Genomic DNA, 26,029 nt, shown 5'->3' with positions numbered 1-26,029 from the left:
GCCTGCCCTGGAATCCTGAACCCTGCCTTCCCCAATCTGCCTTTCTCATCCTGACTCCCTGGGGCAATGGGAGTTCCCCACTGGGGACATGGGAGCTGAGCCCCAGGAGTTCCTGGATGAAAGGGCAATGCACACTGCAGAACACTTTGCAGATCTCGGGGCAAGGGGAGGAAAAGCCCAGAGCAGTCCAGGGAGGGGCAGGTGCCCCAACCACTGCTGCAGCTGAAAGCCCTTCCTCACCGGGAGTGGTACCACCTGTCCCCAGGCTTTGGGAACCCTGGGCTTGGTCTCCTAATGAGCTTGTAATTGGCTCCCTCCGGCCCATGGAGTAGGCGAGAAGGAGCTTGTGCCTGCTCTTCCCCAGAGTGCGCTCCCCCATCGTGCTGCCCCCCAGGGTGGGTTTCCCTGCCTGGAGTCTCCAGGACAGGCTGCGATTGACATTGCTACCCCATGCACGTGTGTGCATCGCACCCACCGTGGACTCAGGCAGCAGAGACCAAGGACACTCCAGCTCTGCTCTGCAGGTCCGACATTAGCCCCCACCCGCGAAGAAGGAGGTTGTTCAAGGCCCAGGAGACTACCACTGCCCCCCAAATGCCCAGCCTTGGGCACCCCATCCGGGTGGCATCGGCACCACTTGGAGAAGGAGCCAAGGAACTTGGAAGGGTCCGAACTTGAGGAAGGTCTGTGCCTGCGATGAAACGTCCCAAGGCGGGCGGCTCCACGATACCCCGCGCCCTGCTGTGTGCGGTGTATGCCACCCATCCAGCCCATGCACCGACCCCATCCCGCCACTGTACCCACTGCCTGTCTTTAGAAGCGCGAGAAGCCCCCCGCCCCAGACCAAAGGCCAGAAGATATCGTGGAGCCCCTGCCCGGGGGCCGAGGCCCAACCGCCAGTCCCGCTCCTGCGTGGGCAGGGCGGGCCCCGCCCAGCGCCGCCCCCCGACCCTCGGTGGCGCCCGCGCCCGTCGGCCCCGCTCGCCGGACCAGTCTGGCAGCGCCCGGGCTCGGATTTCAAAGCCCTGGTTTCTGGCCGTGAATGGGCCTGCGCCCGCGCGGCCGTTCCCACAGCCCCCTCCCGCGCGGCCCGCCCTCCTTCCCTCCCTCCTCGCGGTCCCCCCTCCGCCGCGCCCACGTGACGCCCGATCCTCGGCGGCTCGGATTACCGCCGCCGTCAGTCCCCGCGCCGAGGCTGCGCCGCGAGCTGCCCGCGCCGCGCCCCCCGCGCCGCCCGCCAGCCCCGCTGCGACATGGCCCGCGCCGCCCGCCGGAGGCCCGCGACCCCGGAGCGCGGCGCGGCCGGCCGCTGAGCGCAGCCTGGAGGCGGGAGGCCCGGCCCGGCCTCGGAGCGAGCGCCCGCGCGGCCTGGCCCCCTCCCTTGCGCTGCTCCCCGCGCTCCGTGCGCCTAGCCGCCGCCGCGGCCCGGCCCAGCCAGAGCATGGAGACGGCGGAGAAGGAGTGCGGCGCCCTGGGCGGGCTCTTCCAGGCCATAGTCAACGACATGAAGGTAACCGGGGCGCGGCGGGGCCGGGCGCGCGGCGACGGGTGCGGGACCCCCCGGGGACGCGTGGCGGCGGGTGGCCGAGCCTCGTGTGGCCGCGCGCCGCGGTGTCTGTGTGTCCTTGTCTGAGCGCGTCCTGCCTGCGTCTGCTGGGCGCCCGTGTCTCCGGGTGCCCGTCTGGGGGTGTGGGTGCTCGTGTGTCGGGGTGTCCGTGCGGTGCCCGCGGTGGCCCCGTGGGGTCCTGACCCGAGCCTGTGCACACGCAGGCTCCCTGCGCCCCAGACCGCCAAACCATGAATGGGGTTTGGATCCAGGACCGACTCTAGGGCCCTTTAACGAGTCCGGGGTCTTACCGGCCTCCGCCCCCTTCCACCACCATGTTCCCCCACGGCCCCGGAGCCCAGACAATGCTGTCACCGCCAAAGCAGGAAAAAATAATAAAGCGGAGAACCGTTAACTCCTTCCCCGCCGACCTAGGCCTCTGCACCCGACCGTGAGACTGCGTCCCCCAGCCCCGCCCCACCCCCACAGCCCCAGGAAGCTCCAGGACTCCAAGGTCTCCAGGCTGAATGTCCCTGCATCCCAAGGATAGGCCTTGATCATCACCTTGGGAGGAGGCGGGATGAAGGTTGGGGTCGGTGGAGCAACCCCAAGGAAGCGCTTTTCCTACCCCATTACCACCCTGGGCTCTCAGCTCCGAGCCCTCCTTGTCTCCCAGGATTGCTTAAGGTCAGGCTGGATCCAACCACCCATTCATTCCTCACCCCACCAGGTGGGGAAACTGAGGCCTGGAAATGGCTCAAGGTCACTAAGGAGACTATTGGACCCTTCCCCTGACCTCAGCCCCCATTTTTCCTCCTGGGAAAATTAGTGGGTTCCTCTCCCCAAATGAGGCCAGGGTTTGGCAGGGCTGCCCTACGCTGACTAGGCAGAGAGGGCCCAGCTCCAGTGATAGGGTGGGGGCCAGGAACCAGTATTCCTGCCCTCCTGCCGTGCCCCCTTTCCTTAGCCTAGGATGAAGGGGCAGGATTTGGGGGCTGGGAGAAGGGGAAAGAACGAGGCACCCCACAGGATCTCCCAAGGGCCCCCACCCCCACAGCCCAGCGCAGATTCTCCAAGTGCACAACACAGAATCCCACCAGGCCAGGGATGGGGGTGACACCACCCAGTACAGTGCTGCTAGGACAGGCCCCGTGAGGGGTGGGGGTTGCTGGCAGGTTGGAGTTCGAGGCTCCCGGTGCTGCCAGGACAACAGCCCCAGGGACAGCTGCCAGATCTCTGCCCCCGGAAGAGGCCTGAAGCCAGCCTGGCCTGGGACTACCCAGTTAGCGGCTTGTAGATGCCCCCCACCCCCTGCCCCTCATGGTGCACTCCCCCTGGGACCCCCATCTCTTGCAACTGTACATCTGGGCCCCTCCGCTGGCCCCCAGCAGTCCCCACCTGTCCTGTGGACATCACAGCCCTGGCCCCAGGATCCTGTTAAGGGACTGGGCAACACAGACCACCCTCCCCTGGCCGATCCCAGAGCTGGCTCCGGATGGGCCTTCCCGCACCCCACCACCCACCACCACTGGCAGCCTCATAGCAACCACTGCAGAGAGCAGCAGATTTTGCTCGTGGAAGTGGACTAGGACAGTCTCTCTCCCTCTCCAGCCAATTTGCAAGGAACTTTGGGATGAGACAGAAGGAAGTGGGCCCAGATCATAGCAAGAGGTTCAAGCCAGACATCGGGCATGATTTGCTGACATGTGGAGGCAAAACAGGAGAGGCTTCACCTGGGATGATGCCAAGGACAGATTCGCCCCTACCTATGACACAGGCATGTGTTCAGGGGCCATGACCAGGGGCAGAGAAGGGGATGAGGCCACCTGGAAGCTGACCACCTGGATTTGCGGGGGCAGCTTCTGGATTTTCCCCTCGGTGGCCTGAGCAGCAGGGCCTCCGTAGAGGAAGGGCGGCCATCAGCAGCCAGGTTGAGGAGACTGAGCTTGCCCCGTGAGGCCACCCCACAGTGAGTCCACAGGCCCCACAGAAGCCCTCCCCTGGGCCTCTGGGAGGCCCTGACCTTGGGCTGAGCGGGGGCCAAGGTCAGATGCCCACTGGTGTCAGGCTGCCCATTGAAACCCAGAGAGGGGCAGAGACTTGCCAAAGGTCATAGTTCTGGGCACGGCACCTTCAGCAAGGTGAATGGGGCCTCCACCCAGTGCTGGCCCAGCCAGAAAATGGGGTCATACTCTTCACCCACCCCTCAAGAGTGGGGAATGTCACCTGGACACATAGGCCTGGCCAGGCCTCTGCTAGGGGCCCCTGCAGAGGGCAGGGCTTGCGTACTGTTAGCTGGTGTTAACTGAGCACTTACTGCGTGCTGGGCGCTGCGAGGAGTGCTGGCTGAGCAGCACCTGCTTCAATTTCCACACTGACCCAGTGGGGCAGGTGCTCCTCCTCTCCTGATTTTACAGGTGAAGAAACTGAGGCTCAGACAGGGGGCCCTTGCCCAGGGGCACCTGGAAAGCCCACTCCCTGGGATTGGAGGCTGGATTGCTCACCCACACTCCACATCTGAACCACAGCCACTGCCGGGACAGAGACAGAGTCCCCTCATCCCTGTCCACTTGGGCGCCTCTAATGAGAAGCCCCTCACCTCCCCACTCCAGAGCAGCCACTGTGCTTGGGGCAGAACTGGGTGTCTCTCACATCCCAGCAGTCCCTGCCGCCTCCCCAGCCTTGACGTTCAGTGCTTGTCTCCCTGCTTTGTAAGGGAGTCCCTCTACCTGGCGTGCAGTGACCAGGCAGACATGGGATCAGGTCCTGACCCCGCCACCCTGTGGCCGTGGGCAAATGAGCTAACCTCTACGGGCTTCTGTTTCCTTGTTGGTGAAATGGGGCTGTGGGGAAGGTTTACCTGGGCCTGTCCCAGGTGAAGGCTGAGGATGCTGTTCCTGGGGCACTGGCTGCTGGAGCCCTATCTCTTATTTTTAATCAGTGAAATTGACCTATCCATGAAGAGGCGGATATAAACAAATAAGACATAAGCTCTTTGTCTCTGGGGTCCTTTATGTGGTTACCGTGGGGAGGGGGGCGGGTCCAGGTCCTTAGAGACTGAGGCATCTAGGTCCATCTGCTGAGGGGAAATGGCCTGGCCTCCCCTGCGCCCCATCTTGTCCCCTCCCCATGGGGAGAGCCTTTAATCTCTGAGACTGCCCCAGGGCTGCTCAGGGGCTAAGAAGGTTCCTGGGTGCCAGGGCAGCTGGCTCTGGACCCCCCTCCACCCCTAGCAACTTCTCTGCTCCCTAAAGGGAGATCTTAGCAAGGTTTCAAGGCTGAGTGGGGGTGGGGGTCCAGGCGGTGGGAGAGCGCCCCCTTTTAGAAGACCCCCAAGGGGTACTCCAGGCATAGGTGGCATGAGTCCACTCCTTGGGACGGCTAGGAACAGCTTCCCAGGCCCCTTCACCCTGAGCTGTGCCCATTTGGGAACAGCCCACCCACAGCTTACCCACTCTTGCTTCAGCCTCTGTGGACTTTGCAAATATTTGCTTTCTCTGGACACTGGTTTGGTTGGGCTGGGAGGGGAGGGAGATTCTGAGGCCCCCTAAGCCGCCCTGTCTCCTTCCCACCCCTGCAAGCTCTCCTAGTCTGGCAGGGCAAGCCCTAGCCTGCTCCTGGGTTGCAGCCAGGCAGAGCCTCCCTCTGAGGCCCTGAGGGCCAGGGTCTCCGCATTCCCCTTTCCTCAGGAAGAGCCCCAGCCTCCATCGCCCCATCCTACATGGAAGGGAGGGTCAGAAGCCCCTGTGGGCTGGGGCTTGGCTGGCCCAGGGCTGCCCGTCAAGGGGCAAAACCTCCACAGGGCCCTTGGGCCAGGGCTGAGGTTTCTCCAGGACCCCGGGGCATGCGTTAACCAGAAAAGCCCCAAAATCAGATTGGACAACTCGGTGGCCAGGAGCCCGACCTCCCTATTGGGAAACCCCCTCCCAACTTGGAGCCTTGGGCCAGGCTGGGATAAAGGCCACACTGTTTCCCCAGGAGGGGAGGGGAGCAGGGGGTGGAGAAAGGTGGCTCTGTTGGCCGCACAAGGCCCCATTCAGCCCAGGGCCTGGTTGTCCCAGGCAGGCTAGCTGGGCCCTGCAGCAGCCACAGCCTCCTCGGCCCTGGGAGCCACTGCTGCTGGCCTGGGATGGCAGCTTCCAGGACACAGGGCAGGGGCCCCGGAGGCCCCAGTCTACACCTGGTGTGCCTTCAGCCCTGCCACCCCCTACCCTCCACACTGTGCCTCTGCCCCTGGTGGGCAGGTCAGTGCCAGTGTCCTAGGCACATGTCCGGGAGACACGATGCCTCTCATTGGGCTCAGCCCAGATCCCCTGCCAGGCCCCTGGGAAACCCCGAGGGGACAGGACCTGCCACTTCCTGCTCCATTTCCCCTGAGGGAGGATGTGAGCCCCCTGTAGCCTGTAGGGTGGATGTCCTGATGTCAGGGAGGGAGGGCTTGGCAAAGGCGCCCGTTCCCAGGGACAGGCTTTCCTCATGCTGATGGCTCTGTCCTTGGTCCTCTGCCCTCCGAGAGGACCCAGAGCCTCCCTCTCCATGGGGCAGGGCTGCTGTCTTAGAAACTGCCCCAAGTCTGGATGGAGCATGCAGGGAGCCCGGCCCAGGTCAAGCCCTGCAACCACCCCACAAGAAGCTCACTTTCTCTCCCATTTGCCCGGCAGAGCTCCTACCCTATCTGGGAGGACTTCAACTCCAAGGCCACGAAGCTGCATTCCCAGCTGAGGTGAGGTGGCCCAGGGCACCCCAGCAGGGGAGGGGCAGGCAGAGGCCCCCCCCCCGCCCAACCACCGACCATCCATGCCGTTGTCCCTCTCCCCAGGACCACCGTGCTGGCTGCTGTGGCCTTCCTGGATGCCTTCCAGAAAGTGGCTGACATGGCTACCAACACCCGAGGTGGGGAGGCGCGTGGCTGGAGGTTGGGGTTGCCCCAGGGTGGGCCTGGAGGCTGGAAAGGAAGAGTAGGGGATGGGCCAGGGAAAGGACGGGACGCCAAGCCCAGAACCTTGAGTTCTGCTCCTTAGTGGAGTGGGCTGGTTGTGGAGAGAGTGAGCCCCTCGTCACAAGAGGCATGCAAGCAGGAGTGGGTAAGTAGTGACAGGAGTGTTCCCCGGGGATTCCCTTTTTGCTGTGGGCTGTTCATGTGACCCCCCAGCACAGAGATTCTCCTTAGGGCTTCTTCCCACTCATGCCCTCGTGTCCTTCTAAGAGCACGCAGGGTCAGGTGAGCGCGCCGTTGGGCTTGGCGCCGCCTCTGCCCTCTGGTCCGAGTGGCAGAGACCTGGGGCTCCCGCTCCTTCGGGCCCTGGGCGTGCTCACACTCCCGCACCTGCATCTGGGCACACCTGGAGGGTCGTTTGGCCGGCTCCTGGAACGGTCTTTGGCGCCGGCCTCTCCCAGCTGGGAGAGAGGGGAGGCCGCCGCAGGAGGCTGGCGCGGCTGGGATGGCGGAGGAAGAGCTGGTGGAGATGGAGGAGGCCCCGAATCCCCCAGGGCCGGCGGGACTGCGGCTCGGCGGGGGCAGGGCGCGGGCTGCGGGCTCCGCCTGCGCGGCCGGGGCGCCCCCTCCTGGCCCGAGGCCGGGACTGCGCAGGCCCCAGCGGGCCCCTTCCCACCCCGCGCTTGCCTCGCCAGGGGCCACGAGGGACATCGGCTCGGCGCTCACACGCATGTGCATGCGCCACCGCAGCATCGAGACCAAGCTGCGGCAGTTCACCAAGTGAGTGGGCGCTGCGGGCGGGCAGGGGGGCGGGGGGACGGGGCGTCGCGGGGGAGCCCGGCCCTGACCTGCGCTCCCGCCCGCCCTCCGCAGCGCACTGCTGGAGAGCCTCATCAACCCGCTGCAGGAGCGCATCGAGGACTGGAAGAAGGCGGCCAACCAGCTGGACAAGGACCACGCGAAAGGTGAGGGTGGCGCGGAGCCGGGCTTCCCACCCCCCACTCCGCAGGGACCCCATTAGAGCGCTCCGCTCTCCCCTTCTGCAGAGTACAAACGAGCCCGGCATGAGATCAAAAAGAAGTCGTCGGACACGCTGAAGCTGCAGAAGAAGGCGCGCAAAGGTAGTGCCTGGCGCGGCCCCCCAGCCACAGCCCCACGGCCCCGCTCCACAGCCCCACCGCCCCGTGGGGCGCCCCAAAGCCTTCATCCCAGCCAGAGGGGCGCTGTCCCCGACACAGGACCCTCCAACCTGTTGGGTGGGACAGAGGGAGCTGCCCTTCCCCCCAAACCTGGTCCAGAACCTCCCTATGGGAGGCAGCAGGAGGCCCAGGCACCCCCGCCCCAGGAGTGGCTCTGTCCATCCGGCGTCTTTCACACATTCTTTCTTTCTCTGTCTCTCCTCCTCTCCTCCCACATCCTTCCTGTAGAGCTACTTGGTAAGTCAAATGTCGGTCCCTCCAGCTGCTCCTCCCGTCCTTGTCGCATTTGTCTGTCTCCCCCAGCTCAGGGCCATTGGAAGGAACCTCTCCAGGCCAAGGAGAAGCGAGGAAGGCGGTCGGTCCACGAGGGAGGGGCCTGGGGCACAGTCCCCCTGGGGCCCCCGGGGTCCCTGGCCAGGGATGAGTCCCGGGCCACTGCTGGGTCAGTCTGCCAGGCCAGGAGGGGTTGGCCAGGGCGGGATGGGGGCCACAGGCCCTGGCTGCCCCGCCCCCACCAGGCTGGCCTGCGTCCTTACTTGTCACCTCCTCACCTGCCATCTCATCATCTCCTCTGCATCATCCTCTCGCCTCTCTCTTTCTTGCTGCTTCTTGTGTCGCTGTTGCTGTGTGCTCTGCTCCCTGAGCTGAGTGGGGACCCACACTGAGACCCCTTCCCTGCCTCCAAGGCCCAGCCCTAGCTCTCCTGGCCCCCGCCCCCTGTGGCCTGGCCTACAGCTGAGCCCCACACTCTCTCTTGTCCCGCTTCTGCCCCACCTCCCTGGACCTTGTGAGGTGAGGGGCGCCATCCCGGGTCAGTGAGGGTACCCCAGGTGGAGGCCAGCGAGTCTCCGTGTTGGCAGAGCTCCTGGGCGCCAAGAGCCTCCCCCGGAGATGCCCCAATCCAGCGTGGCTTTGCAGCTTTGGCCTCTTTCTTGTGTGTGTGTCTGTCCTCTCTGCCTGCTTTGGTGGGACTAGCCCTTCCACAAGCCCCAGAGTCCTCACTGCCCTCCGCAGTCCCCTGGCCCCAGGGCAACACCCAGCCCAACGGCCGAGAGATGCCACCACCAGGGTCTGAGCCCATTTGTGGGTGTGGCAAGCCAGGCTGGCATCCCCAGCAAGGCCTCTCCTCCCCACCCCTCCAGGGAAAGGAGACCTGCAGCCCCAGCTGGACAGTGCCCTGCAGGACGTCAACGACATGTACCTGCTGCTGGAGGAGACGGAGAAGCAGGCCGTGCGCCGGGCGCTGATCGAGGAGCGGGGCCGCTTCTGCACCTTCATCACCTTCCTGCAGCCTGTGGTGGTGGGACTCCTGGGGACTCAGACCCCAGAGGGGTGGGCTGGGCCCAGGGTTGACCTTCTGACCTCCAAGAAGGGTCACTTCTCAGCAGTCCCTGGCTGGGGGCATCAAGGCCACATGCTCCTGGCCCAAAGGCAGGTCTCATAGCTCACCATGCACTGATTTGGTCTGGAGAGACCATCATGCCAGCCCTCTGGGCTGTGTGGGCCCCACCTGCACCAGCCCCGAGCAGCATTGGTTAGCGAGGAGGGGTGAGAGAGGAGAGGCCCGACAAGGGCTGCTGCTTCTCCAGGGGCGCTGGGCAGGCGGGCAGGTGGGCGATAGGGCCAGCAGGTCTGACTCGCTGCTTCCTCAGAATGGAGAGCTGACCATGCTGGGAGAGATCACCCACCTGCAGGGCATCATCGACGACTTGGTGGTGCTGACAGCAGAACCCCACAAACTGCCTCCCGCCAGCGAGCAGGTGCGGGAGCCCTCTGGCCAAGGGCCAGGGCCAGGGGCAGGGAGGAGATGGGCTGCCCTAGGTTGGGAACAGTAAAGGGGAAAAGAGGATGGCATTTGGGGGAGGCAGCTAGGGGCATAAGACCAGACCCCTTCTGACACCCACTGCAGGCCATCCCGGAGCACCTGCCCAGGTCGGGGAGGGTATGCCCTGGCCAGCAGCGTTCTCAGACTCAGAGTAGATGGGTGAAGTCCTGGATCCATGGAGTCAGGCCCAGAGTCTGCCTGCCCTGCTCCATGTGGGCAGACCTCCTGCCGAACCTGGAGACGCCCCACCTCCCTTCATGGCCAGAAACCCCATCCCCTCCCCTAGACCCAGGCGTACCTGGCCACCCCACCCCAGCCCTGCTGCCACTGCACTCAGACCAGTCCTGTCCCACAGCCTGCGGGCAGCACGCTCCAGAGGCACTTGTTGCATGCCCAGCATCTGCCACGTTATCTCAGGGAATCTTCCACTCTAAGACAGGAACAGGAGTAAACAAACTCAGGGAGGCGCAGGAGCAACCTGCACCCCATGGTGTCAGGGTCACTCTCGCCCAGCCCAGGCTGGGCTCGGAATCTCTACTCAGTGCATGTTAGCTGAAGGGGCTCCGAGAAGGCTGTGTCCTCTGGTGTCTCCCTGCTCCCCACATTAGGAGGAGCCTGGGGGAGGGGGCTTCAGATTTCTGGGTCTTCTCCTGGGATGTGGTTCACAATTAGAGAGTGGGGGGGGGCCTCTGGCCCTACTAGCTCTGAGGAGCTGCCTCCAGTGACCCCCATCCATGTCCCTGTCCAGGTAATCAAAGACCTAAAGGGCTCGGACTACAGCTGGTCCTACCAGACCCCACCCTCATCACCCAGCAGCTCCAGCTCCCGGAAGTCCAGCATGTGCAGGTCAGTGGGGGTGGGGTTCCCAGGGGTGTGGGGGGCGGTATCCCAAGAGGAAGTGGGGATGTTCCCAGCAAAATTGCATCAGAAATTGCTTCAGGGCCTCAAAATTCACAACTTTTACACCATCCGAGGAATTTGCATATGTAGAGGGAAAATGTGCCCTGTCATCCCAAGACTGCTACTGGCACAGGCATTTGTTGGCAGAATAGGAAGCAGGGGCAGTAGCAGCTTCATTTATGGAGCATCCACTATGTGCCAGGTGCTGTGCTAAGTGCTTTATGCATTTTTTCTCATTGAATCCTAACACTGCTGTATCAGGAATGGTGTCATCTCCATTTTACAGAAGGGGAAACTGACACATGAAGTCCCAGCATTTAACCACTGGACTCTGCCAGGCCTAGCACCGTGTGGGGTCATAGTAAGAGTCAAAGATCAGGGAGAGATGGGAAGGCTTCTAGAAACAAGTGTTGGGGCCATAAGGTATAGGACACTCCAGCCTGGCTGGCTCCTAAGAGCTGGTTCCCATGGAGGCAGCTGCCGCATTTGGAGCCTTGGCCCAGGCTAGCCCCGGGAGCCTCACACAGCTGGGGAGAGGCCAAGGATCTCGCAGTCACTAGCCAGGCTCAGGATCAGGGGCCTTTCCTTGGCTGGGCACTGGGGCTGGGTTTGGAGGAGACATTGATGGTTCAAGCTTCCTTGGGTGGGGAGGACAGTAAGCACAGAGTGAAGTGCTGGTGGGGGCCCCCCTTTGCCAGGCACCCCTCTCCCCAGAATCACTGGCTGGACATCCAGAGCTTGGGAGAAGCCAGGCACAGCAATCAGCTACTACCTCAGAGAGAGGCTCTTCAGACCCTGCGTGGGTGGCCGTCCCACAGTGAAGGGGCTGATTGCAGGGGACAGCCATGAGCAGGGGCAGAGGCTGGGAGGCTTCAGGGTCACGCTTAGCCAGGAACACCACCCAAGGGTTGAATTGCTGTGCTGAGGGTGTGAGCCATAGAGGGCTGGACACCCTTGAGGGATTGGAGAGAGTGAGGGTGATGGTGGGTGCAGGACCCACTTGGAAGGTGACCTCTGTACGCACACACACCATCACCATATGCTAGACATCCAGTTAGGACTGGATGGCAAATACCAGATTTTGAGAAGGTGGTTTAGGAATGATTGGACTCACCGGGGGCAGTCGTTCACGCCTGTAATCCCAGCAGTTCGGGAGGCCGAGGCAGGCGGATCACGAGGTCAGGAGATTGAGACCATCCTGGTAAAAACGGTGAAACCCCGTCTTTACTAAAAAATACAAAAAAATTAGCCGGGCATGGTGGTGTGTGCCTGTAGTCCCAGCTACTCGGGAGGCTGAGGCCTCAGTGATAAAGATATATTCTTTAGGATATAGGAATCTAGATTAAGATCTTTGGTGAAACCAATAGGTTTTTTGGTGGGTTTTTTGGGTTTTGTTGTCATTGTGAGACAGGGTCTCGCTCTGTCACCCAGGCTGGAGTGCAGTGGCACAATCATGGCTCACTGTGGCCTCGACCTCCCGGGTTCAAGCGATTCTCCTGCCTCAGCTTCCCAAGTAGCTGGGAATACAGGTGTGCACCACCACGCCTGGCTAATTTTCATATATTTTGTAGAGACAGGGTCTCACCCTATTGCCCAGGCTGGTCTCAAATTCCTGGACTCAAGCAATCCACCCACCTCAGACTCCCAAAGTGCTGGGACAGGTGTGAGCCACCACGCCCAGACAGGACAACTGTTTCTTGTTTCTTTTTTTTTTTTTCAAGACAGAGCCTTGCTCTCCTAGGCTGGAGTGCAGTGGCATAATCTTGGCTCACTGCAACCTCCGCCTCCCAGGTTCAAGTGATTCTCGTGCCTCAGCCTGCCAAGTAGCTGAGATTACAGGCATGCGCCACCATGCCCAGCTAACTTTTGCATTTTTAGTGGTGATGGGGTTTCGCTATGTTCTCCAGGCTGGTCTTGAACTCCTGTCCTCAAATGATCCACCCGCCTTGGTCTCCCAAAGTTCTGGGATTACAGACATGAGCCACTGTGCCCAGCCTGGACAACTGTTCTTAGTGGCAGAATAGGAGGCAGAGAGGTTGCCTCACCCTGGGCATTCCCTGACCACGGCTCCCCTCAGCACTGGGGCTGGGGGTACCCTGCTCTGGCCCTCCCCTTCCACACCGTCCCAGAACACAGCTCCTGTGTAGCACCTGGGTCTCAGGACCTCCTAGTCTGACATTGTCTTTTCCTTCCTTTGCCCCTCACCTCTTTCCCCACCCTCGTTTGTCAACCTCCCCCAAACACACACCCCTCTGTCTCCCTGTCTGGCTGCTGTGCCCTCTTCCTTCACTCCCCTAGTGCCCCCAGCAGCAGTAGCAGTGCCAAGGGTGGCGGAGCCCCATGGCCTGGGGGTGCCCAAACATACTCACCCAGTTCCACCTGTCGCTACCGCAGCCTGGCGCAGCCAGCCACCACCACCGCTCGCCTCTCCAGCGTTTCCTCCCATGACTCTGGCTTCGTCTCCCAGGACGCCACCTACTCCAAGCCCCCCTCGCCTATGCCTTCAGACATCACCAGCCAGGTGAGGGGGCGTTAGGAGGATCAGTCAGGGTGGGGTGCAGCAGCCTTATGCCAGCATCAGGCAAGCCACATGCGGGACTACTATAGCTGTTGAGACTACTATAGCTGTTGAGACTGGCCTGAAGGCCCCCAAGGCCTTTATTCTGTTCAGTATTTATATTATTATTTTCTATCTCTGCTTTTAAATTCACATATCTTTATATCTTAAATGAGTCTCTTGTAAGCAGCATAATGCCTAGATTTTCTTTTTTTATCCAATCTGACAACCTCTATCTTTTAATTGCCATTTTTAGCCCCTTTGTATTTACTGACATATTTGGACTTCTGGCTTTCTTCTTTCTATTTGTCCTGAATTCTTGTCTCTACCCTTGACTTTGTTTTTTCTTTTCTCTTATTCCCCGTCTGCTGGATTGTAAGTTATATTCTGTCTCTTTTCTTTTATAGGTTACCTTGAAATCTTACCATATGCATACTTAACACAACCCCACCTCCTGAGTAATTCAAGGCCCTTAATATATATTTTTTTACTTGTCACCCACTCCTTCTCAAACTTACAAGCTATATTATTTTCTCTTTTTTTTTACAGTACCCACAAATGACATTTTTCTTCTTAATTTCTTTATTTTATACATACAGTACTTATTTAGATTTACCCATATGTTAATACACATTTCTTGTCATTTTTTTCTTGCATCTCAAATCCTCCAAAGCTTATTTTCTTTCTTTCTGAAGTAAAAAACATCTTTTAGAAGTTCTTTTAGAATAGATCTGTAGTTGTAAACTCTCAGTTTTTGTTTGTTTGTCTGTAAACATGTTTTATTTTGTCCTCTTCTTGAAAGTTCGTTTTGCCAGGAACACTATTCTGGGGTGACAGTTGTCTTCCATCCACACTGTGAAGGTATTTTTCCGCTGTGTTCTGGCTTCCACCATTGGTTGGAAGGTCAGCTGTCAGTCACTGATGCTTCTTTCTGAGGAATCTGAGTCTCTCTCTGGGCACTTTTAGGCCTTCTCTTTAGTTTTGCTACAGCGTGTCTACAATGTGGATTTATTTTTATTTAACCTCTCCTTGTTGGTATTCATGTCTTTCATTTGTCCTTGGAATTTTCAGTCATTATTTCATTTTGTTTTGTTTTGTTTTGTTTTGAGACACGATCTTACTCTGTCACCTAGGCTGGAGCACAGTGGCGCGATCTTGGCTCACTGCAACCTCCTCCTCCTCCCAGGCTCAAGCGATCCTCCCACCTCACCCTCCAAAGCAGCTGGGACTATAGGCATGCACCACCATGCCCAGCTAATTTTTGTATTTTTAGTAGAGACAACATTTTGCCATGTTGCCCAGGCTGGTCTTGAACTCCTGGGCTCAAGGGATCTGCCTGCCTTAGCCTCCCAAAGTGCTGGGATTACAGGTGTGAGCAACCGCGCCCAGCCAGTCATTATCTCTTTACTTCCACTTTGATTCTTTCTATTCTGTCCTCAGGGATTCCAGTTGGATGCATGTCCAGCCCTCTCTTTCTATCTTAGGCATCTCTGAGCTCATATTTTCTATCTCCTTGTTTCTCCGGATATATTCTGGATCATTTCTTCAGTTTTATCTTACAATCGACTTTTTCTTTTTTTTTTTTTTTGCTATTTAACCTACCCACTGAGGGTTTTTTGTTTGGGTTTTTTTTTTAACTTTTTATTTTGAAATAATTTTAGACTTGTAGAAAAGTTGTAAAATATGTAGAGTTCCCATATACTCTTCCCAGAATCTCCCCAGTGTTGACATCTTACTTTATGTAACCACCAAAAACATTTTTAAAACCAAGAAATTAACACTGGTATAATACTAAGTAACGTACAGTCTTCTATTTTTGCCAGTTTTCTCTCTCCTGTCCTGCTGGTCCAGGGGTCCATGACCCAATTCAGGACCCTACATAATGTTCCCGGGTTTTTCTCTTTTCCTTTTTTTTTTTTTTTTTTTTTGAATTTTGCTCTTATCACCCAGGCTGGAGTGCAGTGGGGCAATCTCGGCTCACTGCAACCTCTGCCTCCCAGGTTCAAGTGATTCTCCTGCCTCAGCCTCCCAAGTAGCTGGGATTACAGGCATGCGCCACCATGCCCAGCTAACTTTTTGTGTTTAGCAGAGACGGGGTTTCACCGTGTTGGTCAGGCTGGTCTCGAATTCCTGACCTCAGGTGATCTGCCCACTTCGGCCTCCCAAAGTGCTGGGATTACAGGCATGAGCCACTGCCCCTGGCTAGGACCCTACATAGTGTTTCGTGTTGGTGTCACCTCAGTTTCTGCAGCTCGTGACAGTTTCTCACACCTGTCCCTCTTTGTTTTTCATGACTTTGATACTTTTGAAGAATATCGGTCAGATGTTTTGTAGGATGCCTCTAAATCTGGCTTTGTCTGATGCCTTTTCATTCAGAATTAGAAGCCATACAGTTTTGGCAAGAGTACCACAGAAGTGCGGTTGTCCCCATGTCAGTGCATCCTAAATGCTGCACAATGTCACTGCGTCGTGTGACTGCTGATGTTCACCTTGATCCTTAGTTAAGGTGGCGTGTGCCAAGTTTCTCCACTGGAGAGTCATTATTTCTCCCTTTTTAATTAATAAAATATCCTGTGAGGGGATACTTTTGAGAGGATGAAAATGTCCTGTTTCTCCTTGTACTTTTGCTCTCTAATTTTGGCATCCACTGATGATTCTTGCTTGTTAAAATAGGTGACTTTCTATTTCTGTCATTTCTCCTACATTTATTAATTGAGATTCTACCATAAAAAGATCTGTCCCTTCTCCCCCATTTATTTATATATTCAATTTTTAATTTATATCAATATGGACTCATAAATATTTCTTTTATTCTATGGGTTATAACCCATCACCATTGAGTCTTTCAGGAACTTTTTTTTTTTTTTTGACACAGACTCTCGCTCCATTGCCCAGGCTGGAGTGCAATGGTGCGATCTTGGCTACTGCAACCTCTGCCTCCCAGGTTCAAGCCATTCCCCTGCCTCAGCCTCCTAAGTAGCTGGGATTACAGGCACACACCACCACACCCAGCTAATTTTTGTATTTTTAGCAGAGGCGGGGTTTTGCCATGTTGGATCACTCCTAATCTCAAGTGATCCGCCTGTGCCAGCCTCCCAAGTGCTGGGATTACAGGCATGACCTGCCACACCTGCCCAAGGAACTTTTTTATTGAGGTATTCTAAACACACCGAGAACAAGAACGTAAGCAGGATAACCACCACTCCTGAAGCCAGCAGTGCTCTGTTAAGTCACTACACACCCAAGGGTAACTGCTATCCTGACTACTTTTGACTTTTTTTTTTTTTTTTTTTTTTTTTTGAGACAGGGTCTCACTCTGTCACCCAGGCTGGAGTGCAGTGGCACAATCCTTGCTCAGTGCAGTCTCAAACTCCTGGGTTCAAGCAATCTTCCTGCCTCAGCCTCCCAATTAGCTGGGACTACGAGTGTGCAGTATCATGCCTGGCTAATTTTTATATTTTTTCTTTTATAGAGATGGGGGTCTCACTATGTTTCCTAGGCTGGTCTCGAACTCCTACCTTCAAGCAATCCTTCCTCTTCAGCTTCCCAAATCACTGGGATTTCAGGCATGGCCTAGTTTTGCCCTTTTTATCCTTTCTACATGTATATATGGAATCATATAGTATGTATCCTTTATGTCTGGCTTCTTTTTGCTCAGTTATGTTTATGAGATTCAGCCATGTTTTAGGTGGAAATATAGATCATGCTCATTGCTATATGGCATTCTATTGTGTGAATATGTAATTTAACCATTTTGATGGACATTTGCATAGTTTCCAGTTTTTTGGCTATGATGTTGCTAATAGTGCTGCTGTGAACATTCTAGTATGCAGTTCTGTGGGGCACATTCCTAGGAGCAGAATTGCAAAGTCATGGGATATGCACATCTTCAGATTTGATAGGTACTACCAGACAGTAAGCCAAGTGCTCATACCAATTTACCCTCCTGTTAGCAAGATTAGGACAGTGTTTTGTTTTGTGTCGTTTTGTTTTGTTTTTGAGACAGAGTCTCACTCTGTTGCCCAGGCTGGAGTGCAGTGGTGCAATTTCAGCTCACTGCAACCTCCATCCTTGGGATTCGAGTGATTGTCCTGCCTCAGACTCCCGAGTAGCTGGGATTACAGGCGCATGCCACCACACCTGGCTAATTTTTGTATTTTTAGTAGAGATGGGGTTTTGCCATGTTGGCCAGGCAGGTCTCAAACTCCTGACCTCAGGCAGTCCACCCCCCTCAGCCTCCCAAAGTACTGGGATTACAGGCATGAGCCACCACACCTGGCCAAGATTATGACAGTTCATTGCTGTTCCACATCCTCACCAGCGCTTGGCATTTTATATTGATTTCATTTTAGCCATTCTAGTGGGTGCAGAGTAATAGTAGTTCCCTGTATATTTTGTTTGCATTTCTCTAATGCTAATGAGATTGAACACCTTTTCATACTTTTTTTTTTATGAGACAGAGTCTCACTCTGTTGCCCAGGCTGGAGTGCAGTGGCATGATCTCAGCTCACTGCAACCTCCGCCTCCCGGGCTCAGGCAATTCTCCTGCCTCAGCCTCCCGAGTAGCTGGGATTACAGGCGTGTGCCACCACACCTGGGCTAATTTTTGTATTTTTAGTAGAGACGGGGTTTCACCATGTTGGCCAGGCTGGTCTTGAACTCATGACCTCAGGTAATCCGCCCGCCTTGGCCTCCCAAAGTGCTGGGATTACAGGCATGAGCCACCATGCCCAGCTTTCATACTTTTTTATAAGAGATAGGGTCTTGCTATGTTGCCCAGGCTGGCCTCATACTCTTGGGCTCAAGCAATCCTCCTACCTCAGCCTCCTGAATAGCTGAGACTACAGATGTGTGCCATTGAACCCAGCTACCTTTTCATACCTTTAAAGACCGTTAGAATATTCCCTTTCATGAAGGACCTTTTTAAATCGTTTGCCCATTTTTCTACTGGATTATCTGTCTTCTTCTTACCAATTTATAGAACTTTTTAGTATTGCAGATAAAGTTCCTCATCGGATATCTTCTCTCCTTCTATTGGGTACCTTTTTATTGTCTTAATGGGGGTCTTTTAATGACCAGAAGTTCTTAGTTTTAAAATAGTCCAGTTTATCCATTTTTAAATTGTTAGTGCTATTTGTGTCCTGCTTGAGAGATTTTTGCCTACTGCAAGGTCACAAAGATGTTTTCCTCTAAAAGCCTTTTGGTTTTGCCCTTTTGTTTTAGATCTGCAGCTCATCTGGAATTGAGTGTGTGGTGTGTGTGTGGTGTGAGGTAGGGGTCCTTTTTTTCATATGGATATCCAATTGACCCAGAACAGTGTATTGAAAAAAAAAATCTGTCTTAGTCAATTTGGACTGCCGTAACAAAATACCATAACCTGGGTGGCTTAGACTACAGAAATGTAGCGCTCACAGTTCTGGAGGCTGGAAGGCCAGGATCAAGACACCAGCAGATTCGGTGTCTGGTGAGGACCCACTTTGTGGTTCATAGATGTCACCTTCTTGCTGTGTCCTCAGTGGTGGAAGGGGCAAACTAGCTCCCTTAAACCTCTTTTTATAAGATCCCTAAAACCTTTAATGAGGGCTCCACCCTAATGATCTAATCACCTCTCAATACCTTATCTTGGGGGTTAAGATTTGAACAGAGGAATTTGGGGGAGACATAGACATTTGGAGCATAGCATCTTCTTTTCCTCAGTGCACAGCAGTGCTGCCTTCATCATCAGTCAGGTGTCTGTAGGTGTGTGGCTATTTCTGGACTTGGCACTCTGTCCTACTTGTTGATTTCTCTGCCTTATACCAATGCCACACCATCTTAATTATTGTAACCATCTTAATTATTTATAAAAAGTCTTTTTTTTTTTTGATACAGTCTCACTCTGTCCCCCAGGCTGGAGTGCAGAGGTACAGTATTGGCTCACTGCAACCTCTGTCCCCAGGCTTAAGCAATTCTCATGCCTCAGCCTCCTGAGTAGCTGGGATTACATGTGCACCACCACAGCCAGCTAATTTTTTGTATTTTTTGTATTGGGGTTTTGTCATGTTGGCCAGGCTGGTCTCAAACTCCTACTCTCAAGCAATCCACCCACCTCAGCCTCCCAAATTGCTGGGATTATAGGCATTAGCCACTGCACCCAGCCAGACTTTATAGAAAATCTTGATATCTGGTCATGGAAGTCCCCTAGCTTGGTTATTTTTTTTTGGTACCGCTTTGTCTATTTTCGGCCCTTTCCATTTCCATGTAACTTTTAGGATCAGCTTGTCAGTTCCTACCAAAAGGAAAAAAAAAAAAAACTCCTGGGATTTGAATGGAATTGCAGATATCCCTCTGTTTGTTTAGGCTTTACTGCCTCTCAGTAATGTTTTGTAGAGGTTTTTGGTTTTTTGGTTTTTTTTCTGAGGCAGAGTCTCACTCTGTCACCCAGGCTGGAGTGCAGTGGCGCGATCTCAGCTCATTGCAACCTCAGCCTCCTGGGTTCAAGCTATTCTCGTGCCTCAGCCTCCCGAGTAGCTGGAATTATAGACATGTACCACCACGCCGGGCTAATTTTTGTATTTTTAGTAGAGACAGTGTTTCACCATGTTGGCCAGGCTGGTCTCAAACTTGTGGCCTCATGTGATCCTCCCGTCTTGGCCTCCCAAAGTGCTGGGAGTATAGGTGTGAGCCACCATGCCCAGCTTGTTCTGTAGTTTTTGTGTAAAGATCTTGCATATCTGTCATTGGAATTTTTTCCCTAGGTATTTAGTGTTTATTGATGTTATCGTAAATTACACTGATGTTTTAGGGTGGTTTTGTTTTTTTGTTTTGTGTTGTTTTCCTGTTAGCTGCTGGTATTTAGAAATGTGATTGATCTTTTTCGGATTTTGTTCTAATAATCTTGTTAAAGGGTTAACCCCTTACTAATTCTAATAATTTGTAGATTCTTTCTTAATATTCTACATATACTATTATGTTACTTGTAAATAGTGATTTTTTTTTTTTTTTTTTTTTTGAGACAGAGTCTTGCTCTGTCACGCACACTGGAGTTCAGGAGTTCAGTGGTGTGATCACAGCTCACTGCAGCCTTGAATTCCTAGGCTCAAGATATCCTCCTGCCTCAGCTTCCTGTGTAGCTGGGACCACAGGCATGTGCCACCACACCTGGCTAACTTTAATTTTTTGTAGAGTCAGGGGTCTCACTATGTTAGGCTGGTCTTGAACTCCTGGGCTCAAGTGATCCTTATGCATCAGCCTCCCAAAGTGCTGGGATTACAGGTGTGAGCCACCACACTTGGCCTTCTTTCTTTTCTTTCCAATCCATTTGTTTTTTATTTCTTTTCCTTGCTTTATTGCACTGGCTAAGATTTCCAGTGCTGAATAGGAGTGATGACAGTGGGCATCCTTGTCTTTCTCCCAACCTCAGAGGGAAAAGTATCAATGCATTTGTAGATATTCTTTATCAGATTAGCTTCCTTTCTAGCAGCTTGTGTCTTTGTATTGTTTTTCATGAGCAAGTGTTGAACTTTTTCACTGAGTTTTCCAAATACTTTTTCCATTGAGTTTTTTTACTTTAACCGTCATATTGCCAAAAGTCTGCATTTGTTATTTCCTCCAAATCCTCACAGGTGGTGCCTGGTTTCCTTTTATTTTGGTGATCTTGGTTCATTCGAATCTGCAGGAAATCTGGGGATCTAAATCCAGAATGATTCAGAGAGCTGGAGGAAGGGGGCTGCCCTGGCTTAACTTGGCTCATTCCCAGGCCAACACCTCACCGTGATCCACGTCCCCACTGCTGTGCTGAAGCTGGCGTCTGCCCCAGGGAACCCTGCCGGTCACACATGCTCAGGATTTCATGGGCCTGTGTCTACCCTGCTTTTTTCTTTATTCTTTGTAGTTGTTTAGGAGTGGGGGGCCTCGCAGAACACCTAGTCCAGCCCACTGCCCAGAGCAGGTGTGTCCCTTTCATACTTCAGTCCACTTTAAAACAGCCTTCCCCCACCCCCTTCTATGGTAGCAGTTCTCCTCGGGGTCTCCATGGACACCCTGTGCCCCAAGCCGATGGCCCCACCCAGCAGCATCAGCACAGCTGCCCCCCTTCTCCGCAGAGCAGGCTCTCCTTTACGGGACTCTCCTCTTCCCTCCCACCTGATGCGCATCAGCAGCCACGGGCCTGGCCCTTGAATCTTGTCTAACTGCACTCGCTGCCTGGTGGCCTCATCCCACCCCAAGACCACTGCACTGATGGCTCCAACCCCAACTTCTCCCTGCACTCAGCTTATGAATACGACGGCCCTCATTGCATCCATGCAGAGACCTCAGAGGCAGCTCAGCTCAGTGCTCAGCGTGGCACTCGGGGCTTCACACTTCCCCCGTGTCCTGTCTGAGAAAACTGTGACACCATCAACCCAACTGCTCAGACCAAACACCCAGCTGCCGCCCTTAGTATCTCTTTTTCCCCTCGGTGGCCATATCCAGGCCGTCAGCAGTGAGTCCTGTGGTCAGTCTTCAAAATGCGCAGGGCTGGGCTGTCAGGTGGGTCAGCGTTCACCGTGTGCACTCTGGGCTGCTGTGTGCTGCTGCAGACACTCAGCGGCCGTGGCCCTGGGGTAGGGGGGGTGGGTGCTGGGCAAGGCGCTGAATTGAACCGCCCCCCTGCATGCCAGCTCTGTGACCAAAACTGTTCTCTCCTCTCCTCCTTGCTGCCTGCCGGCCCCTCTGTCTGCAACCGCCTGCTGGCCTCTGCATGGCAGAAGTCCTCCAGCTCTGCATCTTCCGAGGCCTCGGAAACCTGCCAGTCCGTTAGCGAGTGCAGCTCCCCCACCTCGGTCAGTGCTCCCAGCCCGGCCCCAGGACAGTCACCAGCTGCCCCTCCCATCCATGCCCTCCCCACCTGGTGCCATTACTGCACAAAGGGCCTGGGTTCAGCCAGGGGTGCGTGCACACAGCACCTGTCCCCAAGAGACAAGCCACCTGGCCATTTCCTACAGTCACTGCCCACACAGCCACATCTTACCCCTGGGCCTGGTGGGACTGAGGGGCCACAGTCACACTCCATGCTCTGCCCTTGGCTGTGATTGCGAACCAGAGACCCCCTGATAGCCCTGGACACCCTGAGCCTCAGCCACAGTGACGGGCCCCCGGGCCATAGGTGGTAGGGCCAGTGGTCCCCCTGACCTGCCACACCCTCCCTGCAGGACTGGTCCAAGGTCGGCTCCCATGAGCAGCCCTCAGGCGCCACTCTGCAGCGGAGGAAGGACCGAGTGGAGCTCCTGCGAGACACAGAGCCAGGCCCTGCCAGTGGGGGCACCCTGGGCCCCAGCGGGGAAGAGGCACCGCGACCCCGGATGTCCCCTGCCACCATCGCAGCCAAGGTAGGCTGGCCAGGGCCCCCCTTCACGCCCAGGTCAGTCCCAGGAGGCCCAGCCAGTGGCCTCAGGGCCGGCTCCAACCACCTGGCAGGGCTGCCTGGAATTTGGGCAGAGGGGATTGGGGGCGCAAGGCTTCAGCCTGCACTTTCCCACCCTCAGCACGGTGAGGAGGTGTCCCCCGCCGCCAGTGACCTGGCCATGGTGCTGACGCGGGGCCTGAGCCTGGAGCACCAGAAGAGCAGCCGGGACTCGCTGCAGTACTCCAGCGGCTACAGCACGCAGACCACCACGCCCTCCTGCTCTGAGGACACCATCCCCTCCCAAGGCAGGCCCGCGGGGCTGGGGTGGGACCAGGGACAGCTGGGACTTAGCCATCCAGGAGGGCCCCGTCCTTCCCCCTCTGTGCTCACCCTGGTGGGCTGGGGGCAAGGGGCCACCTGGGCCCTGGGCCTCACTGTGTCCCGTGCCCCCAGGCTCCGACTACGACTGCTACTCCGTGAATGGGGATGCGGACAGCGAGGGCCCGCCCGAGTTTGACAAGTCATCCACCATCCCGCGCAACAGCAACATCGCCCAGAACTACCGCCGCCTGATCCAGACCAAGCGCCCAGCCTCCACTGCTGGGCTGCCCACCGCGGGGCTGCCCACGGCCACTGGCCTGCCCTCGGGCGCACCCCCCGGCGTGGCCACCATCCGCCGCACACCCTCCACCAAGCCCACCGTGCGCCGCGCCCTGTCCAGCGCTGGCCCCATCCCCATCCGGCCGCCCATCGTCCCTGTGAAGACGCCCACGGTGCCTGACTCCCCCGGCTACATGGGGCCCACACGGGCGGGCAGTGAGGAGTGCGTCTTCTATACCGACGAGACCGCCTCACCCCTGGCACCGGACCTCGCCAAGGCCTCCCCAAAGAGGCTCAGCCTGCCCAACACAGCCTGGGGCAGCCCATCCCCAGAGGCAGCCGGGTACCCCGGGGCAGGGGCCGAGGACGAGCAGCAGCAGCTGGCGGCCAACCGGCACAGCCTGGTGGAGAAGCTGGGGGAGCTGGTGGCGGGTGCCCACGCACTGGGTGAGGGCCAGTTCCCCTTCCCCACTGCTCTGTCGGCCACCCCCACGGAGGAGACGCCCACCCCACCCCCAGCCGCCACCAGCGACCCCCCGGCCGAAGACATGCTGGTGGCCATCCGGCGTGGGGTCCGGCTCCGCAGGACCGTCACCAACGACAGGTCGGCGCCCCGCATCTTATGATGGCGCCACCCTCCCCATCCTCTCAGGCCCCAGTGCGAGCAGGTGGCCTGGTCTGTGAGCCGCAGGCACTCAGAGCAAAGGCCCAGCCAGGAGAGAGGACAGAGCCAGGGCAGAGGCCATGCCACTTTATGGAAAGACACCTCACTTGGATTCCAGCATTTAAACAGGAAGTGACTTCTTAGCAAGCCTGGCCAGGACGGAGCCTGCAGGCCTGGGCCTGGTTCGGGGTCTGTTTTATGCTCTTCGGTCCCTCCTCTTCCTCCTCTGGGGCCCTGCCTCTTCCCTACCCATAAGCACCAGAGCCAGGGCCGCTGCCCATGACAGAGGGGCCAGGCTGGCCTCCCTTTCACCATCCCGGCCTCTCCCAGGGCTGGTCCTGCCTCAGCTCCTCCTGGAATGCTGGCCCCCCTCTCCCCTGCCTGAGCCCCCTCCTCCCCTCTTGCCTTCTCTCTGCCTCTCCCAGGCCCCTCTCCCTCCAGGAGGCGGGGCGGCTGTGGAGGGGCCAGGTGCACGCTGGGCTGGATGTCTGCTGGGGGCTGGGGGCCAGGGCGGCAGGTTGGAGTTGGGCGGCCAGGCCCCCCGTGTGGGAAGGGAGTTCCAGGGCCCACGCCAAGTCTCAGGGAGGAAACCAGGGGCTGCTTGGGGGGGGGGGTCTTGGGGGCCCTGTGGTGGCTCCCACCCCTCGCCTCCCCCACCCCGTGAGGCTGGCTGGAGGGGGCCAGAGCAGCTCTTTGGAAACTAGGGCAGCAGGGTTAGGAGGCCGGAGGCCCTGGGGTCACCGGCCAGCCACACAGGCACCGTTTTCAGATGTCCACTTCTCATTGGGTACATCAATCTTTTAACTTTGGGGGTCACAGTTTTAGCCACCTTTCGGGGGGTGACTGGAGCAGTAGGAGGTGTGGGGTCATTTTATGAATATAATAAAATGGAGCTGACTGTGGACGAGGACTAAGTGTGGGGGAGAGGGGACGATACAGGGTGTGTGTCTGGGAGTGCCTGGGGGACAGGGACCCCCCGGTGGTCCTATGGCAGGATGAGAAGGGAGGGACTTGGCTCCCCCAGAGCCCGGTGGAAGCTACTGTTCTCTCCAGTGTCTCGAGCGTAGCCAAAATAAGGTTGGGAGGCTCCCGGCCTGTCTGCTGTGGTCTGAGCTGGCTGCAAGCCCAGGTGGGGGAGCGAGTCTGGGAAGATTGGCTTTGACTCTCTGTTGCCGGAGGAGATGCCATCCCAGCACGGCCCCCACTGTAGTCCAGGCTCGTGGTGGCAGCGGGGGCAAGGGGAGGGGCAAGGCTGCCCCCACCCCACGCACCAAGTCACGCCAAGTCTCAGCAGGTAAAAGCACGTGAGCCTAGGGCGAGCGGAGGGAGTCCTGGTGGCCCCGCAGGTCAGGAGGGAAAGCAGGGCTCAGAGGGCATCGTGGCCCCAGGGCAGGGTCCTACCTGGGGGTCAGGAGCACCTTGGTCTTGATGATTGATTGATTGATTGATAGAATGGAGCTGGGTCTGAGCCTCCCAGGCTTGAGCTCCTGGGAGTTCTTGTGCGGTGAGCTGGGCAGCTCCTGGGTAGGTCCGGGCACCAAGCAGGCCCTGATGTGGACAGAGTCCCATCAGAGGGAGCTGATGAAGAATGGTCCCTGTAAGTAAGTCACTAGGTTCAACAACTGCCTGGCCGAGCACTCAGCCCGTGGAGCTCAGGCCAACACCAGAGCCCCGGTTTTAGGGGCCAGGAGAGCAGGTGACCAATTATTTGGGGAGTCTTGGGTAGAATTTCCGCCACACATTCTCCCCAGGGCTGCAGGGGTCTTCCGAGGCAGGGCGGTGGAGCAGGATTCAGGATGTGGTGGGAATAGAGTGAGGGGCAGTGGGTGGGCAGACCTGGGCGTCAGAGGTCCTGATGGGAAAGGAGGCAGGGGCTACCCAGAGAGGGGGGCTCGTGTGGCACAGCCCCCACCGACTCCGCCGTCCCCCTCCCCTGTGAGCCCCGGGGGCTGTACATACTCTACTCCATCCCCTTGTCCATCCCTGAGACCACCCCCGCCGCCCTTGCGTCGACTTAGCAACCACCTCATAGGCCCACCCACCTCGGGATCCGAGCCAACCATCCCACATCACAAACTTTGGTTTGGGGGACTTTACGTTCGTTTAATTTCTCATTTTGTACGGAGAAATATTCTTTTCAAAAGCGTCTTTTGACTGAAGTAACTTTCCTGGTGCTGTTGTTAACTCGTTCCTTTTTTTAATTTATTCCCCCACCCCAGGCAGCCCTCCTGGTTCCTACTCACCCTCCCCCCCTCCCCCACCCTCCGTCCCATCTGAACCATTTGTTTCTTTTCTTTCCGTCAGATTTTGGAAAAATTCTCCTCTCCTCCCCGCCCCCTCCACACCATCCTCCCCGATTTAAATATAGTCACTGCTACAAGTAACAGATGCACTGTGAAGATTCCAGTATTAATAAAGGTGTACTGTAATTAACA

The 26,029-nt window shown here is 56.7% G+C and overlaps 1 protein-coding gene across 16 annotated transcripts; it reads left to right on the top strand.

Moving 5' to 3' along the window:
• MTSS2 (MTSS I-BAR domain containing 2) lies at positions 1,180 to 26,029 on the top strand. Of its 16 annotated transcripts, XM_011523450.3 has the most exons (17): positions 1,180 to 1,510; positions 3,158 to 3,323; positions 6,208 to 6,269; positions 6,366 to 6,439; positions 7,178 to 7,262; positions 7,356 to 7,447; positions 7,529 to 7,603; positions 7,910 to 7,918; positions 8,824 to 8,981; positions 9,334 to 9,441; positions 10,255 to 10,352; positions 12,705 to 12,927; positions 20,837 to 20,893; positions 21,693 to 21,767; positions 22,137 to 22,313; positions 22,470 to 22,635; positions 22,784 to 26,029. In XM_011523450.3, exons 2-17 carry the CDS (start codon positions 3,180 to 3,182, stop codon positions 23,554 to 23,556), a joined length of 2,376 nt encoding a protein of 791 aa, XP_011521752.1. In that variant the 5' UTR covers positions 1,180 to 1,510; positions 3,158 to 3,179; the 3' UTR covers positions 23,557 to 26,029. The 16 variants fall into 16 exon arrangements, with proteins under 16 accessions (XP_011521752.1, XP_016879368.2, XP_011521755.3 ...); XM_017023879.3 differs by lacking the exon at positions 3,158 to 3,323 and having other exon boundaries at positions 12,801 to 12,927; XM_011523453.4 differs by lacking the exon at positions 3,158 to 3,323.

Source organism: Homo sapiens, chromosome 16, assembly GCF_000001405.40.
Source record: "Homo sapiens chromosome 16, GRCh38.p14 Primary Assembly".
NCBI classification, from domain to species: Eukaryota; Metazoa; Chordata; class Mammalia; order Primates; family Hominidae; genus Homo; species Homo sapiens.
Note: the sequence above shows the minus strand (reverse complement) of the source record. Positions and strands in the feature narration are given on the sequence as shown.